This window comes from Homo sapiens, chromosome 9 (assembly GCF_000001405.40).
Source record: "Homo sapiens chromosome 9, GRCh38.p14 Primary Assembly".
NCBI classification, from domain to species: Eukaryota; Metazoa; Chordata; class Mammalia; order Primates; family Hominidae; genus Homo; species Homo sapiens.
In genome coordinates this window covers 5,914,612-5,933,429 of record NC_000009.12, presented here as the reverse complement: position 1 = coordinate 5,933,429, position 18,818 = coordinate 5,914,612, and the positions used below count along the sequence as shown (strand labels likewise).

At 36.6% G+C, this 18,818-nt stretch overlaps 1 protein-coding gene across 17 annotated transcripts in view; it reads left to right on the top strand.

Moving 5' to 3' along the window:
- The window catches only part of BRD10 (bromodomain containing 10), a 129,649-nt gene that overhangs the window by 75,053 nt on the left and 35,778 nt on the right, over window positions 1–18,818 (top strand). For 8 of the 17 annotated variants that reach the window (XR_007061251.1, XR_007061249.1, XR_007061250.1 and 5 more), the window contains exons 6-8: window positions 4,271–4,386; window positions 8,585–8,772; window positions 10,121–12,886. Coding sequence is in view for 10 of the 17 variants with exons in the window: in XM_011517760.4 (XP_011516062.1) it covers window positions 4,271–4,386; window positions 8,585–8,772; window positions 10,121–12,886 (3,070 nt within the window). In the remaining 7 variants the exon portion in view is untranslated. Of the gene's footprint in view, window positions 1–1,745; window positions 1,887–4,270; window positions 4,387–8,584; window positions 8,773–10,120; window positions 14,409–18,818 lie in introns of those variants that run through there. The other 9 variants (NM_001438917.1, NM_001017969.3, XM_047422860.1 and 6 more) reach the window with 5 other exon arrangements.

The following is an 18,818-nucleotide window of genomic DNA, read 5'->3' as shown; positions in this document are numbered from 1 at the left end:
TTTAAATTATATTGTATGTCTTTGGTTCCATAATGTACACTTGAAATTCATACTTTTGTTGATTCATAAAAGAAAAATACTGCTTGTCCCTTTATAAAGTGACCTTCAGTAAATATTTGAATTATGAAATTCATGTAATGCATTGAGATTCTCTCAGTATTGTTTGCCTATGAAAATAGTGAAAATTCTAACATGGAAACAGTTAATTTATCCCTGTGTTCACATACTTGTTTATAAAGGAGAGTCAGAACTAAAATTAGATGCATAAAGCTTATTAAATATATTTTTATTAGAGAAAGTCATAGCACTGCTCCACAAATGATCTTTTACTAAATTATCTATCTGCCATTTTTATCTTTGTTTGTGTATTAATCAGTATAGAGAAAGAGTCTTAAGAACCTTTCTGATTTTTATTACATCCACATTCTGTCTTTGTGTTTGAAGACAGAAGAACTTGCTGTTTTGCTTTTAATTCACTCTTAACTTTAGGTCATTATTATTTTAATTATTATTGTAATTTTAAAAGTTAAAATAAGTCTTAGAGATTTTAATTCTTATAATACAGAGATACCTACATGTAAATATAGGTACTTACACAAGATAATCTATGTCTTCTTTAGGAATTGTCTTTGTGGGGTCCAAGAAATACAGCATTGTATAGTGGAAGGAGATTAGACGTTAGTATTTAGAGTGTAGAATTCTAGTCTAATGGCTGCTTCTGTCGGCAAATACAGTTGTGTCTCAGTATCCTTGGGAGATTGGTTCCAGGACCCCACCTTCATACCAAAATCCATGTATGTTCGAGTGCCTTATATAAAATGGTGTAGTCTTTATGTATAACCTACACACATCCTCCTGTAGACTTTAAATCATCTCTGTATTACTTATAATATCTACTACAATGTAAATGTGATTTAAATACTGGTTATACTATATTGTCTAGGGAATAATGACAAGAAAGAAAAGTCTGTATGTGTTTAGTGTAGACACAACCATTCATTTTTTTTCTTCCAAATTATTTTATATCTGTGGTTGGATACCTAGGGTCAACTGTACTTCCCTGTATAACTTTAGACCATTTTCTTCTAGAAAATAAATGCCCTTTTAGTTTCCTTTCAACTTTAATAATTTCATCCGAGATGAAACATGATCATTGTTCTTTGTTTTTCCCTTGTCCGTGTATATGAATAAAGTTGATCAATCAGAAAAGCTATTAGTAGCTTTTAGTTAATGACCTAATTTAAAGTTCAATAAATATTTGCTTGATTTTTATGTAGATTTTTATATTAGACCCAAGATAAGGCAGATTATCATCTCATTTCTTTTATATAACTTTTCTTCTCTTTACATTAATTTCATTGTATACCATGCAACTCTGAGAACACTACTAAGTAGAAAGGGACAGTGTCATTATTTTAATTTGATTGGGGTTATAAGCACCATGTTTTGACCAAAGCAGATGATACATAAAACAGGCAGTGTGAGTTTCCCTTTTACTCTAAGTAATTAAAGCACCTTACCTCAAATAGCAATCCCAGAACAGTTAATTTTCAACTTTTTTAAACCTCTGCATGCTTTTGAGCAACATAAAAACTTGACTCACATTCTCCATGGCAGGGTATAGGGGTGCCCTTTGTTGTGGTCATTATATTCATATGTATCTGCTAGACAAAGCATTTTATCAGTCTTTTCTATAATTTGTGTTGTGAAAATAATAAACTTTTGGGTTTGTTTTCGAAATATAGAATGATTTAATAAGCATTTTCAAATTATGAATGAAGTACTATACCACCACTACCCCAGACTGAAAATACATAAAGAAAGAGAAGAAGGCCACAAAACATATAATGTTAAAAGATAACAGACATTTCAAAACAGATTAGTGGGTAAGTTGTATGAAAGAAGTCTGTTCTCTGATCATAATATTTAAGCTTCCTTCCTTATATACAGTCTTCTAGTTCAGTAGTATATTTCTCCATGTGGGATTAAATTTCTAAGATTAGTAATAAACATAAAAGGTAAAAACTTTCTAATCTTTTAAAAACTTTTCTACAAAAATTAATATTGTAATTCAACAGAGGCAGAAATACAGTTGACAAATATCTTGAAATAACAACATCCCAGCTACCCAGTCTCCCCATCCTGTGCCTCATCTACCTAGGCCTAAGTAAGGTCTTCTGTGCCACAATACTGCTAGTCCTTCTGCATCCCCCGCCACACTACCACTTGCTAATCCAGGCAGCAGTCATACTGCCCAGAGTAACTCTACAGCTGCCATTTTTCTCCTGTAACTCCCGGTGAGGAATTCAGCATGCCTGGTGTTCCCTAGCCTTTGAACAGTTTTCCAGTTAATTCTGCCACAAAGAGTATAGTCTCCCTACTATCATATCTTTCCTCTTTCTTCTCTCTTTAACTTAGGAAAGATTTACTTCCACTCTGACCATTTGACTTCTTGAAGCCAAATAGTTGAGAAGTGGAAGAATGTTGGTTACAAGTCTACCTAATTTCTATTTTAAGTTCACTTTTTCTAGATGAAAGTTACTTCCTGTTCAATTTTATAATGTATCATTTAATAGTTTTGTGTTCATGGCTTAAAATAAGCACTTTTATAACATTTCTTTGAGAAAAATAAACTTGTAAGGTGTAGCTCATTTTTAACTTGCGTCCTTTGTGTACTTTAGAACACATTTAACAAGAAAGAGGCCTATCTAGATTAATATATGAAATAAAAATTACTTTTCTTGAATTTTTTTTCTTAATTCTTTGATTCATCATACCATTAAGAAACAAGAATTAGTCATGAGCCTCGGTTCCATATTCATTACGTGCACATGCACATATATAATCTCATATCTTCCTACTCTTCTAGTAAGCAATTCCTCTTCTAAGATATAAAAACCTCAGAGGTAGAAATTTACCTGTTAATGTGCATAAACATTCTGCTGGTTTAAAGCACAGAATATTTTTTGTAAAACTGTACTGTTCGTCACACAGGTTTATATGTGACTAAAATTTTCATGACAAATTTGAAGGTCATATATATATATATATATATATATAATCTCCTTATATATATTGGGAAATTTATGCACATGTTTGTAATAGTTTTTGCTCTAGATAGTGGTAATTTTTCCACCTTAGTGTTCTACTTATATGCAAATGGACTCAACAGTTGCTGTAGGACAAAATCTGTTTATGCATGTTAAATGTGACCCATAACGTATATAATTATGTATCTTTTGTTAGAAAGAAAACATGTGGATTGTGTGATGTGTGAATTATATCTCAAAGCCATTACAAAAAAAAAACCCAACATGATTATGTAACAGTAGGTGATGGTAATAATAAGTATATACTGTGGCTTAGCAGCTATAAATTTATTGTTCCTATGTTATTCAAATAATTTTATATATACAGGTGAGGTGTATCTTCTAGAGGTTTCTATAGCCTGTGTCAGATTGAATTCATGTGATGTACTTTTTAAGAGGTAGTGATGTGGTTCTAAGAGCTTGGACTTCAGAATCAGGCAGATACGGGTTTAAGTTATAGGACCTTAAGCAAGTCATTTAATCTCTATGAGCCTTATTTTCATCATTTGTAAAGTGAACATAACAATGCACACATCTCAGAAGGCTTTTTGTAAATGCTAGAGCTCTCTCTAGATATATATATATGTGAAATACCTAGGTTAAAACTTAGCAAATTGAGAGGACATCAGTAATTATTAACTCTTAGTATAGCATTAGGGTATTGAAAACAGTAACTGCTTGGTTGCTTTTCTGGGCTAGAAACATTGTAAAATAAAATAATTGTAAAATTTCCTAGGAAGTTTGTTAAAAAGACTGCTTTTAGACATGATAACAAACCTACCTTTTCTCCCTTTTCCCCAGTCTTTGGGAAAGTTACAGTAACTTTACTGAAATGACCCATGTCATACTTACTTAATGAATTTATATAAATGTTTGTGTTTTTACATATATTTAACAAATGATTTATTAAAACATTTACAATTGATGCAATTTTAAAACATTTTTAAAATTTTTATCTTCCAGTTGGATGAAACAGGTTTCAGATTTCTCTGGTAGAATTGAGAATTGTTACATATATTGAATAAAATTTATTACAGGATATTTTCCCCCTTTCTGCAAGCTTCTGAAGAAGAAATACGTTTTTATGGAGTATTGGTGTTTTTGTATTTTACTCAGAAAATAAGTTTTGACATTTACTTTTAGAATAAATCTAAGGGATTTACTTTAAACATTATTTTTAGGGAAAATGGTATCATCGGAGGCAAGCTGTAAAAGAATTACATAGTACATTGATACGTCTTTTAAATGAATTGCTGCCATGGGAACCAAAGTTAATGAAGGCTTTCCAAAGAAACAGGTAATTTTAATGTTATAATCTGTTTTACTTATTTTATGGTCCTTAATTTACGATTTTTGGATGATGTCCTGGAATCATTTAGTAGTTTTCCAGTCATTTGTAATTCGGCAGATATTTTTGACTGCCCACTGTGTGCAAGGCTCTTTCTAAGCCCTGAGAAAATATTGTTGACTAAACAAAGTCTCCACTCTGTGACTTACATTCTCATGGAAAAAAACACACTCAAATGTCAGATGGCAAAAAAAAGTGCTGTGAAGAAAAATAAAGCAAGGTAAGGGGGTTAAGAAATGGCTGATTTGGGCAGGGTGAAGGTTACTCTTTGATCAGGTGTCAGGGAAAGCTTCCCTGATGAGTTGGTGTTTGAACAGAGACCTTAAAGAAATGAGGAAGGGAGCTCTGTGGATTTCTGAGGGGAAAGCAGAGGGAATAGAAGGTACTAAAGCCCTAGAGTTGATAGCATGTTTGGCGTTTAGTGGAGATGCAAAGAGGCAAGTGTAACCAGAGCAGAGCGAGTGAAGAGAAATGTGGTAACAGGCAAGAGTCAGAGAGGTAAGGAGGAAGGAAGCCAGATCATGTAGATCTTTAAGAATTGGAGTTTTTACACTGAGTTAGGTGAGAAGCCATTGAAGGGTTTTAAGCAGGGAAGGGACATGATTTGATTTATGTTTTAAAGCAATCACTCTGTTGGGTGGAGATAAATGTAATAGGACAAAGATGAAAGCAGGGAAACCAGTATACTATAGCAGTAATCCAGGAGAAAAATGGTAGAGGCTTGGACTAGGATAGTAGCAGTGCAGATACCAAGGAGTGGCTGGATTCTGGATATACCTTGAAAGTAGGATTGGTAGAATTTGCTTAAGGATTGGATATGTGGAGTATGAGAGAAAGTGAGGAATGAAAAAGATGATACCCACTATTTTTGGTCTAAACAACTGGAATAATGGAATTGCCATTAACTGAGATAGGGGAAACTCAAGGAGTAGCAAATTTGAGAGGTAGAGGGGATTGAAGAGTTGGATTTGAACATGTTAACTTTGATATGCTCTTTAGACATATAATTGGTGTTATTGAATAAGCAGTTCAGTATAGGAGTCTGAGTTCAAGGGAGTCTGGAGGTACAAATTTGGGAGCTGTCAGCATCTTGATTGTATTTAAAGACATAAGGCTGGTAGAAATCACTTAGTATATGAGCATAGATAGAGAAGAAAAGAAAAGCGAGCATTAGACCTTCCAGCATGTAGAAGTGGCCAAGATGAGTAGGACTCAGTAGAAGAGACTTTGAAGGAGTGCTCAGTAAAACAGGAAGATAGTCAAGGAAGAGAAGTGTTTTGGAAACCAGGTAAAGAAAATGTTTCATAAAGGAGGGCTGCTCATGATGGGTTGAGGAAATGAGAAATAAGAATTTATTATTTAATTTGGCAACATGAGGATCATATTAATGACCTTGGTGAGCTGTGGTAGTAGAAGAGTGGATAAAAGTCTTAGAAGTCTATTCAGGAGAATTAGGGGAGAGAAATGGAAGAGTCCTCTTTCATGGAGTTTTGCTATAAGGTGGAATAGAGAAATGGAGCAGTATCTGGAAGGAAAAGAGGTTAAGAGAGTGTGTTTTGTTGTTGTCGTTTGTGTGATAGAATAACATGTTTGTGTACTGATGGAAATGATTTAGTAGACAAAAAATGGATTCAGGTAAAGGAAGGGACATTTGGTAGAGTGTTATCCTTGATTAGGTAAGAGGATGCATTTAAATGGAGGTGTTAGCTTAGGTAGGGAGATGGAGAATAGGAATATACATTAAGGTGAGTTGCAGATGAGGTGTGAGCATGTGAAAGTTCTCTTCTGATTGCCTCCATTTTTCTTGAAATAAGAAGTAAAGCCATTAACTGAGACCGAGAAGGTTACTGAGAGTGAGAAGGGAGGAGAACTTTATACTATCCCCACATAGATATTTTTTCATTCCAATCTTATAGATTGAAAGGGAAATTCATTTTATGATTATCATTTGGTAACCCATTCTAATACCTTTCACAGCCCTCATGTGCTTCCATAAAACCCTTAACAATAATTGAAAACCTACATAAACTGAAAGCAATTATTAACTAACATTTGTTGAATATTTATGTGCCACACGTACTGAGAGGTAAGTACTATTATTATTCTCATTTGTAATAAGTAAACTGATGCTTAGAAAATTAAGGAATTTTAATGTTTTGGAAATTAAGGAATTTTAATGTTTTAAAAATTAAAAGCCACTTTGGGAGGCCGAGGCAGGCAGATCACGAGGTCAGGAGATCAAGACCATCCTGGCTAACATGATGAAACCCCGTCTCTACTAAAAACACAAAAAATTAGCCGGGTGTGGTGGCGGGCACCTGTAGTCCCAGCTACTCAGGAGGCTGAAGCAGGAGAATGGCATGAACCCAGGAGGCGGAGCTTGCAGTGAGCTGTGATCGCGCCACTGCACTCTGGCCTGGGCAACAGAGTGAGACTCCGTCTCAAAAAAAATAAATAAATAAAAAATTTAAAGCCTGGGCAATATGGTGCAACTGTGTCTGTACAAAAAATACAAACATTAGCCAGGTATGGTGGTGCATGCCTGTGGTCCCAGCTACTCAGGAGGCTGAGGTGGGTGCATTGCTTGATCCTGGGAGGTGGAGGTTACAGTGAGCCAAGATTGTGCCACTTGTACTCCAGCCTGGCGACAAAGCGAGACCCTGTCTCAAAAAACTAAGTTAAAATTGAAAGTCTTACAACTGGTAAGTGACAGAGGTAGGACTTAAAATCTAATGTGCACAAATAAGAATGTATAGCAAAAATAAATTGGAGAACATGGCCAGGCGCAGTGATTCACGCCTGTAATCCCAGCACTTTAGGAGGCCAAGGTGGGCAGATCACGAGGTCAGGAATTTGAGACCAGCTTGGCCAACATGGTGAAACCCCGTCTCTACTAAAAATACAGAAATTAGCCAGTTGTGGTGGCGCGTGTCTGTAATCCCAGCTACTCAGGAGGCTGAGGCAGGAGAACTGCTTGAACCTGGGAGGCAGAGGTTGCAGTGAGCCGAGATTGTGCCACTCCACTCCAATCTGGGTGACAGAGCAAGACGAAGGAGGAAAGGAAAGGAAGAAGGAAATGGAGAACATATGTTCATGTTTATTTTTTGAATAAACGACACTAAGGGTAAAAGTTGAGGATAAGGTAGAACACTTAGTTGAAAACAAAAGGAATAATGAAGGATCTCTAAAATACCATGTTTCCATCTCTAGTTTCTCAGAAATAAAGCTATTATGTTTTTATATGAAAAAGATCTCTGTGAAAGATTACTTTTCAGCTTTGTTTTCCTAGGCATAATTTTTTAAAATATTTCTATTAAGATTGAAAGGTTTAGATACAATTACTCCCAGGATTAAGTGATAGATTTGTTACTCTCTGTATGATAGTCACAAAAATAGATACTGGTGCTTAGAATTTCTGGCTTAAACTTTTTTTAAATGACCTTTTAAGATGTGTTATAGTCAGTAATTTTAAGACTCTAATCTGTCAGTGCAGCTAGAAAAAAAATTAGTTGTCTCATTTAATTGGTCTAACAGCAACCTTTATAAAGATGATCAGATGGTATGTTCAAATCTTTATTCTGAAATTTGCAGATATATATAATTTTTTTTCTTTTCTTTCTTTTTTTTTTTTTTTGAGATGGAGTCTCGCTCTGTCGCCCAGGCTGGACTGCAGTGGCATGATCTTGGCTCACTGCAACCTCCACCTCCTGGGTTCAAGCAGTTCTCGTCCCTCAGCCTCCCGAATAGCTGGGATTACAGGTGCCCACCACCACGCCTGGCTAATTTTTGTATTTTTAGTAGAGACAGGGCTTCACCGTGTTGGCCAGGCTGGTCTCAAACTCCTGGGCTCAAGAGGTCTGCCTACCTCGGCCTCCCAAAGTGCTGGGATTATAGGCATGAGCCACCATGCCTGGCCAGATACATATAATTTTTTAAGTTTCAAGTTTCTTATGCCTATACCATAGGTTCTGTCTTCCTGAGCATTGGCAAGACTGAACTAAGCATCTTAGACACACTTAAGATTAAAGCATTTCTAGTGACTTAATAAAAAATATTTCCATATGTAGTTTAAAATGTTAAAAGTTAGTTTAGATTCCAAGAATTTAAATCATATGTATTATTTATTATGTTGGGCATTTTATTTCAGGAGCCGCCTGAAGAAAGACTATGATGATTTCAGAAGACAACCTGATCATGATACATTTAATAGAGAACTATGGACCACTGATGAAGGTGAAGGAGATCTTGGAAAAGACTCTCCTAAGGGAGAAATCAGTAAGTCTATAGACTCAACAGAACCTCTGGATATCCTGGAGAAAGATCACTTTGATTCAGGTAAGCATTAAACTTTTTTTTTAAGTCAACACTGAAGGCACAAAGAGAAGTTTTTGTTTGCTGTGAAGGCAAAAGATAATATGGTCAATGAAATATATTGATTAGGGAAATCTGTTATGTTTTGAAGAAGTAGTGTCCACATCCTTATAAGAAGTTTCTACTAGCCTAGGCAACATAGCGAGACCCCATCTCAACAAAAAAATAAATAAAAATTAGCCAGGCATGGTGGTTGCATCCCTGTAGTCCCAGCTATTCAAGAGGTCGAGATAGGAGTATCACTTGAGGCCAGGAATTTAAGGTTACAGTGAGCTGTCCACTGCTTTCTAGACTGGGCAACAGAGCAAAATGCTGTCTCAAAAAAAAAAAAAAGTTTCTTGGAGTCATTATTACATTTCTAGGAGTTTCAGGAGCCAGTAATTGACTGCAAACTGTAGGCCTGTCATTGCCCATTACAAACCACACACCCTTGATCTGTAATCCCTTTGAAATTGGTTCATGCTCTTCTTTTTATTATTAGTATTTTTGAAGCACTGTATCTGAAATTTACTTTAGAAATAGAATTTGACAAGTTCTTAATATTGTGAAGATTATTTTTTCAGGAATTACCATGGTTGATGGCCTAATGAGACCAGAATGAACACATCATTTTAATAAGGATAAAGGGCTGGATTAGATTACCTGTAATTCATTTCAGTTTATCAGATTACGTTATGTAAATCTAGTTTAATGACTTTCTTTGGTTATGTAGAGGTTAATATGGGCAACAGAGTGGTTAGAAATGCATTAACTTATTGTTTTCCATCTTTGGCAAATTAAGAGTAATGTCTTATAAACCTAGTTTGACCGAATATGAACATAAATTTTTTCACTATAAGGATGAACATCAGTAAAAGCTGGATATTTTTTGTCCTTTAGAGTCTCTAGAAATAGAATAGATTGGAGAACCATCTCTCTATGGTATCAAAATGTTCCTAGCTAGAAAAAGAGAACTAGATTCCTTTGCAAATTAAATTCTGAGCCCTGATTGTTTATTTGGGTATTTCTAATGAAACAGTTTTTTGCACTTACACTGGCAGAAGAATTAGCAGAATTCTTGACCAAAAATTTTGACCAAAAAAATTTTCTCAATAATAGGTTTTTCTTGGGCATGGTTATGATATCTAGATTATCATGTCAAAGATGACCTTACCTTTGTCTTCATCAGTGGTGCTAAGGCTTTTGAATCACCCTGCAGTAGATTTCTTAATACACTGCCAGCTCAAAGATTGACTTTCTTTTTTACAGTTGATGTTATTACTATTTAGTTGCTGTTTTATATAAACAAAATGCCCGTTTTTATAATTTTCAGATGATATGAAGTTGTCAGAAATAGATTTTCCTATGGCTAGAAGCAAGCTGTTGAAAAAGGAATTGCCTTCAAAAGACTTACCGAAGACACTGCTTAAAACACTTAAACGACAGTCCAAACAAACTGATTATGTGGATGACAGCACAAAAGAGCTTTCTCCAAGGAAGAAGGCAAAGTTAAGCACAAATGAGACAACAGTTGAGAATCTAGAAAGTGATGTGCAGATTGACTGTTTCAGTGAATCAAAGCATACAGAGCCATCATTTCCAGAGTCATTTGCCTCATTGGATTCAGTACCAGTGTCTACTCTCCAGAAAGGGACCAAACCCATTCAGGCTTTGCTTGCAAAGAATATTGGGAATAAAGTGACCTTAACAAATCAACTGCCTCCTTCCACAGGTAGAAATGCTCTTGCTGTGGAAAAACCAGTTTTATCTCCTCCGGAAGCAAGCCCGATAAAGCCAGCATTGACCTGCCACACCAATACAAAAGGTCCTTTACAAATGGTATACAAAATGCCCTGTGGCCAGTGGTTGCCAATAGATCTTCAAAATAGCTCTGTAAAGATTCAGGTGCAGCCTATGGTGGATCCTAAAACAGGAGAAAAAATCATGCAGCAAGTTCTTATTCTGCCTAAGAATTTTGTGATTCAGCATAAAGAAGGAAAAGCAGTTGCAAAAGAAGTGCCACCACTTCAACAGAAAGGTACAGAACAACATTGTTCATCTTTCCCACAGACAACAAATATAAATTCTTCTTTAGCATCAGTTTTTGTCAACTCACCAGGAACTGTTTCTACCCAACTACCAAATACAGCTTTCAACAAAACAATTACACCTTTATCAAATATAAGTAGTGCTAGACCACAGCCTTTGTCGCCTGTAACCTCTGTAAGTAACTTATTAACACCATCAGTTAAGACTAGCCAGAGTGAGGCAGGAAAAGCCAAGAATGCAGTTTCAGCAGCCACATTCTCCTTGCCCAGTGCTTCACCGACCATTTCCTCCACAGGTCAGCCTCTGTCATCAACAACAACACTAAATGGGTCTACAAATCCTGGTAGTTCCTTCAACTGTTTTGCACAACAGACTGCTGATTCTTCTGAAGCAAAGCAAGAGCTGAAAACTGTGTGCATAAGAGATTCACAGTCAATTCTTGTTAGGACACGAGGTGGGAACACTGGAGTTGTAAAAGTACAGACCAACCCAGATCAAAATTCACCCAATACTGTATCTTCAAGTTCAGTTTTCACTTTTGCTCCTCAGCTGCAGGCATTTCTGGTGCCAAAATCAACAACTTCTTCCTCTGCTTTTTCACCTGTAGCTGGAACAACTACTACATCTAGTCTTTCACCTTTTAGCCAAACACCAACTTCTGTTTCCATTCCAGCTAGCTTTGCCCCATCCATGGGGAAAAATCTCAAACTTACATTAGGCCACACCACTGGCAGTGGTGATTTGGGCCACGTGATAGATAAAACTTCACACATGCCCTCTTCTCCCTTGAAGTCCTCTATTTGTTCTAGTACTCTACTACCATCAACAACAAGTAGTTCGGTAAGTGTAATTAGCATATCAGCAGCAAATTTTGGACAAAACAATGCAAATATTATTCATACTCCAACTAAACAGCAACAAGTAGATTATATCACAAAAAGTTACCCTGTTACAAGGTCAGAAGCAACAGCAGCAACAAATGGAGATGTAATCAGTGGGACTCCAGTTCAGAAACTTATGCTGGTATCAGCTCCATCTATTCTTTCTTCTGGCAATGGAACTGCAATTAATATGACACCTGCGCTGACATCTACAGGTGTTTCTGCCCAGAAATTAGTTTTTATTAATGCCCCAGTTCCTAGTGGTACATCAACCCCAACTCTTGTTGCAGAATCATTAAAACAAACTCTTCCTCCTCCATTGCATAAAGCATATGTTAAGACTCCAGAGCAACCCCAAATAGTACTGATTCCGTCTACAGTGGGCACACCAATAAAAATAAATTCATCACCAGCTGTGTCTCAGATAAAGGATGTGAAAATTGGACTAAACATAGGTCAAGCAATTGTAAATACTTCAGGCACTGTGCCAGCTATACCATCAATTAACATATTACAAAATGTAACCCCAAAAGGAGAAGACAAAAGTAGCAAGGGCTATATTTTGCCATTGTCAACAAGTGGTAATTCAGTTCCAGTAAGCTCAAATTTTGTGAGTCAGAATATTACCCCTGTTAATGAATCAGTGGTTTCTTCAGCAAGAGCAGTAAATGTGCTTTCAGTTACCGGAGCAAATTTATCTTTGGGTTCCTTTCCAGTGACCTCAGCCTCTGCTTCAGCTGGGGCACAACCTCCTGTTTTAGTCAGTGGAAATGATACCTCTTCAAGAATTATGCCTATTTTGTCAAATAGACTTTGCTCATCAAGTCTCGGAAACACTGTGGCTATATCAACTGTGAAAACAGGACACCTTGCATCATCTGTTCTGATTTCAACTACACAACCAGTAGTGTCTCCTAAATGTTTAACATCAGCTTTGCAAATTCCTGTTACGGTTGCCTTACCTACACCTGCGACTACATCCCCTAAAATAATAAACACAGTTCCACATTCGGCAGCAGTACCAGGAGCCACACGTTCTGTATCTATTTCTAAAAGACAATCTCGGACTTCACTCCAGTTCCATTCACCAGGGATTTCAACTACAGTGCCAACAAATGTAAACACAAATAAACCTCAAACTGAATTGTCGTCCCTTTCAACAAGTCCAGGTAAAATAACTAATACGTCCAATTTTGCTTCTCTGCCAAATCAGCAAGCTTTAGTAAAAACCCCCAGTTACAGTTCTGCTCCAGGTGGCACTACCATTCACACGGCTTCGGCACCATCCAATGTAACTAGTCTAGTCGGGAGTCAGTTCAGTGAACCTTGTATTCAGCAAAAAATAGTCATCAATACCAGTACACCTTTGGCACCTGGTACTCAGATTATGATTAACGGAACCCGGTTTATTGTTCCACCACAAGGTCTTGGAGCTGGCAGCCATGTTCTCCTTATATCTACTAATCCAAAATATGGAGCCCCCTTAGTTCTTAACAGTGGCCAAGGCATTCAATCTACACCAATAGATAACTCTGCCCAGAAGATCACACTAGCATCAAATAATTCCTTAAGTGGCCAACCTCTACAACATCCTCTAAGAAGCCCTACAAAATTTATAAACTCTTTTGGGAATGCAAGTTCTATACCCACAGTACATACATCACCACAACTCATAAACACAACTGCTAAGGTTCCTGTTCCACCTCCTGTACCAACAGTATCACTGACTTCAGTAATTAAGTCTCCAGCTACTCTTTTGGCTAAGACATCTTTGGTTTCTGCCATTTGCCCCAGTAATCCTCCACTGCCAAGTAGCACTTCAGTGTTTCATTTGGACCCACCTGTCAAAAAATTGTTGGTTAGCCCAGAAGGAGCCATTTTGAATACCATAAATACTCCAGCATCTAAGGTTTCTTCACTCTCTCCATCTCTCTCTCAGATTGTTGTATCTGCCAGTCGAAGTCCTGCGTCTGTCTTCCCTGCTTTTCAGTCGTCGGGCTTAGAGAAGCCTGACAGAGCTGCATCTTGAATTTAGACTAAAAGAGCCAGTTTTTAAATAATGGGGCATTGTTTTGACTCCCATAAAAATTTTCAATGTTTATTATACTGTTGAAAGCATACTATACATTGTGTGTGTGTGTGTGTGTGTGTGTGTGTGTGTGTGTGTGTTTTAATGTATCTTTTCATTAGCTTGCAACAAGGCTTTGTTTTCTTGGGGAGGGAAAGATCTGTTCCATTTCACTTACTGTTCTGAGGAGGGTTTCAAGGTTCTGTGTTTAAAGTCAGGATTTACCTGTCTGTAGAACATAAAGTGAACAAAGTTTGAATAGTTTAGAGTAAGCTAGCCTTTTGCACATTTACATTGACATGTTTCTTCTTGAATTTGGACTGTTGCAGCATATCTATGATATGGTATTCAGTGTCATTAGTGAAATCTTATTTTTGTTTCTGTAAAAAAAAAAATACATATATATATTTATGCATTGTGAAAAATGCAGTCCATGATGTAAAATTGTACATATTCCAGAATCCCTAACAACCTGTACTAAATATATGTACAAAGAACTATGCTGTCTTATTTATGTTTTGTTTACATAATGTATAGTTTTTTAAGTATTTTAGTAATTTTGGACCAGTGAACTGTTAGCAACAATGCAGAAGAATCTGCATGTAATAAACTGAGTTGCTGTATTTCTTTGTTTGAATACCATTTTTAACGTGTGTTCTTGTTCCATTGAAAGAATACAGGATGTAATTGAAGACAGTCCTTTACAAGAAAGAATTAAGGGTGGGAAATTTGAATTAGAGCTAGCACTTGTACATGGCTTTCCAGCTTACAAATACTACTTTCACTTAAATCTTGTGTTTCAGAAAATGCCTTTTTTTTTTTTTTTTTTGACTCACCTGTTGCCCAGGCTCGAGTGTAGTGGTGCAGTCTCAGCTCACTGCAACCTCCACCTCCTGAGCTCAAGCCATCCTCCCACCTCAGCCCCCCAAGTATTAGGTTGGTGTGTAAGTAATTGTGGTTTTTTTGCCACTAATGCCACTAATGGCAAAAAAAAAAAAAAAAGCCACTAACGGCAAAAAACCACAATTACTTTCTCACTAACCTAATAGCTGGGACTACGGGCATGGGCCACCATGCCTAATTTTTTAATTTTTTGTAGAGATGGTTTCACCATGTTGCTAGGCTGGTCTTGAACTCCTGGTCTCAAGAGATCCACCTACCTTGGCCTCCCAAAGTGCTGGTATTACAGGCATGAGCCACCGCACCCAAGAATATGCCTCGTTTTAAATAAAAGGTAGCTTTTATATTTATTGGATCTTTATATCCATTATCTTGAGCTACTGAACTGTATACTCATCCTTCCATTTATAATGTTGTTAAACTTCATCACATGAAGTTATTGTTGGGGGTTGGAAATGATATGGAAGCATAGGCCTAAAGATTTCCTTTGAGACTACATCAAAGTGTATTTGTTATCAAAGTGGAGAGGGTAGTGAAAATATTCCTAGAAAGTCACTAAAGGCTCTCAGAAACCGCTATTTATGCTCTAAGTACTTTTCCTAGTCATGTTTATGCTCTACTCAAGTCACTCTCCCCGTTTTTCTGTCAGTTAAGAAAGCCCTGGGGAAGTGGGTGATATTTCAAGTGCATTGCATTGCGCATTGATGGTGCTCAACAAATGGCTGTATTTACCTACTCAGCTTTTAAAACAAAATGACCCAAAACTGTTTGCCTTTTGTCTCAGAAGAATTCTCTTAAGCCATTTTAAGAAACTAATTTACTGAATTACCTATGGCCCAACTTTAATCCCAGTGAAGGACCTAAACTAACCACTAAATCTCTCTCTTTTTTTTGAGACGGGGTCTTCTCTGTTGTCCAGGCTGGAGTGCCATGGTGCTATCTCAGCTCACTGCAACCTCTGCCTCCTGGATTCAAGCAATTCTCCCACCTCAGCCTCCTGAGTAGCTGGGATTACAGGTGTGCACCACCATAGCCCAGATAATTTTTGTATTTTTAGTAGAGATGGGGTTTCACCATATTGGTCAGGCTGGTCTCGAACTCCTGACCTCAGGTGATCCGCCCACCTCAGGTGATCTGCCCACCTTGGCCTCCCAAAGTGCTGGGATTATAGGTGTGAGCCACTGCACCCAGCCACTAAATCTCTTCTAACTCCTAAATCCAAAATTCTAATATGACCTTCATAGCTCTGTGTGATCTGGTGAACCTTCGTACTGAAGTCCCCACTTAAAGTTTTAAAAGCTCTTCAGTCTGTTCCTGCCTACCTCTCCAGCTTCATTTCAACCTGTTCTCCCTCTTGTTCACTGTACTCTAATTTTCTTTTAGTTTCTAGAAAATTCAAGACACTTGAAGGTCTTCCCAGATGTCTTCTTTGACCTAATGTTCCATTACAGGTTCTTATTACGTGTTATGTAACTCCCTGTCCTTGTCATACCTCAGCCAGCATTATTATATTGTGCAGTCACTCAGACTGAGAACAACATAGCACTTCTTCAAAACTATAATTACTTGTTTGAAATTATTTAATTTCAGGAACCTTATCAATCATCATCATTATTGTGCCAGCACCTGGCACACTGTATTCAATGTATATTTGTTGAGTAGGTGGGTGACAAATCTAGATAACCTCTTATTTAAGGTCTAGTTTACTTTTTAAAACTAATGCTCCATTTTTTAAACTAGAAATTCGATTAATGGATTTATATCTTCAAAAACCCAAATTCCTTTGCCTCCAGTTTTGTAGGTCATGTGGATTTCTGAGATCGTGGCTAGAGCACAAAGTTAAATTCCTGAATTCATTGTGTTTAGTGTTATTAAGGGTTCTGTAAAGGGCGTCTATAAAGGCATACATGAAAAGGAAGAAACGTCACCACAATGCCACCTGAAAAGATTCATGATACTGGAGAGTCATGTTTTTATACTTAGTATAGAATTAAGCCATTTGGATATCTGTGTTCTGTATCACCTAAAATACTAAGTTAAAAGATGCTGAAATAGCCTGCCTCCTTCTGGTGTGTTAGCACTTCCCTTTCCTCTCATTTCCTATGGTTTTTCCTGCCCTCACAAAAAGTTTTTCCTTTGTGATTAGTTTTATATATATGTTATATATGTTTTATATATGTTTTATATATAGTGATTAGTTTTATATATACATATATATACACACATATGTATATATACACATACATATATATACACACATACATGTGTAATACTAAATAGCTGAAGTCCTGCTCAAGTCCCAAGTCTCCAATTTTATTGGTGTATTTAATAATTAATTGAAATAGTTTTATGATTAAAGTAGTGATAGCTAGAATATGTACACTAAAATCAGTGGAAATGTTTGCTTGATCCAGTAGATCAACCTAAATTTAGAATTTTTTAACATTAAAAGCTTGAGAAAGTGGCAAATTCTGAAAGAGATCTAAGAAATTTGATAGGGATTTTAGTTAGCCAAAGTTACTAAAACTTAGAAATGATAAACAGTTTACCTGAAGTCATTCCAGAAGTAGTTTTGCCATCATCTGAGCTTATTGGCTTATTGTTACTATAATGTTGTCATCTGCCCCAGTTATTCTTACACATTTATTCAGCAAGCATTTACTATCCACAGCATGGTGCTTGAGGCTTAGAAAAGTTGAAGGGTATAGCATAGTTTAGAAGGTTCTTACAACCTGGAGAGAAAATGTGAATGTGAGAAACATATAGTTAAAAATGTATGAAGAAGTATTAGAGAATCAAATGATGTATGTAATCATCTTAATTACTTTAAGAATGATGCATGTAAAACATTCTTAAAGTAATTATCAAACAAATTCAAGGCATCTACCAGAGTTGTAAATGTATTCTACGCACTTCTTGAGAACCATATAATGTAGAAGATGTTGCAGGAACGATATAGATGAGTAGGATTCCATTCTGTCCTCAATACAAAAAATAGTAAAATAATAATAAGTTAGAGGAATAAAGAACTATAAGAATTTAGCAGGGAGTTTCCAGAGAAGGTTTCATGTAAGAGGTGGCATTTGTGCTATGACTGCAAGTACGTTTATAACTGGGCCCACAAAGACTGAGTCTCAGAAAAGCCCAAGGAGCATGTAGGGAACACAGCAGTTGAATTTGAATGAAATGCTATAGGTTAAGAGGACCCATAGGGAATGATTATAAAAATAGGTTGAGCTAGCTGATAGAGGACTGAAGAATATTCGAAAGTATATGGGGGAACTACTGAAGCTTTTGAAGCAAAGGTAGTAATAGTCAAACTTAAGATGGGGACAATTACCTTGCAGGATTGCTGTGAAGTTAGATGAGATAATTTACCTAAAGTACTTAGCCCGGTGCCTACCACATAGTAAATACTTAAATAGTAGCTGCCATCATTCACCTGACTAAAGACAGGGAGACCAGTCAGGATATTAGGTGGGCCAGAAAAGTGGTGTGAAGACCTGATATTTGGCATAATCAGGTATCTAGTAATGCTAGAGATGAGACAGAAACTGTTGAGATTGAGAAGGATAAAGAAAGGTATTTTTTAAGGGAAAACTTTTATTTTTGACTGTATAAAATTTAGAAACATTTAAATAGCAAATAATATCATGAACAAAGTGTTACCTCCCCTAAATCTATTAATTTAGTGCTAAACTAATAAAAATACTAATAAATTTAGTTGGGGGTTATTGTTGTTTTGTTCTTTTGTTTGTTGGGCTTGGCGGGGTTCTCTTTATTAAACCTAAATTTATTGAGGTACATATTGTTATTCACATTTTTTGTAACAGTTCATAGCATATATAAATGGCCTTTATTGATTTGTGTCTCTCCATGATCGTACAAAATTCAATTATGGTTTACATAATAGTGAACCATTTAATTCAGCCTAAATACAGTACTTAAATGGATCTAATTCTGGGAGTCTCATGGAATGATCTAAAAAATAGTCAAGAATTTTATTAAAACCATCTAGATTTGGCCAGGCACAGTGGCTCACACCTGTAATCCCAGCACTTTGGGAGGCCGAGGCGGGCAGATCACGAGGTCAGGAGATCGAGACCATCCTGGCTAATGCGGTGAAACCCCGT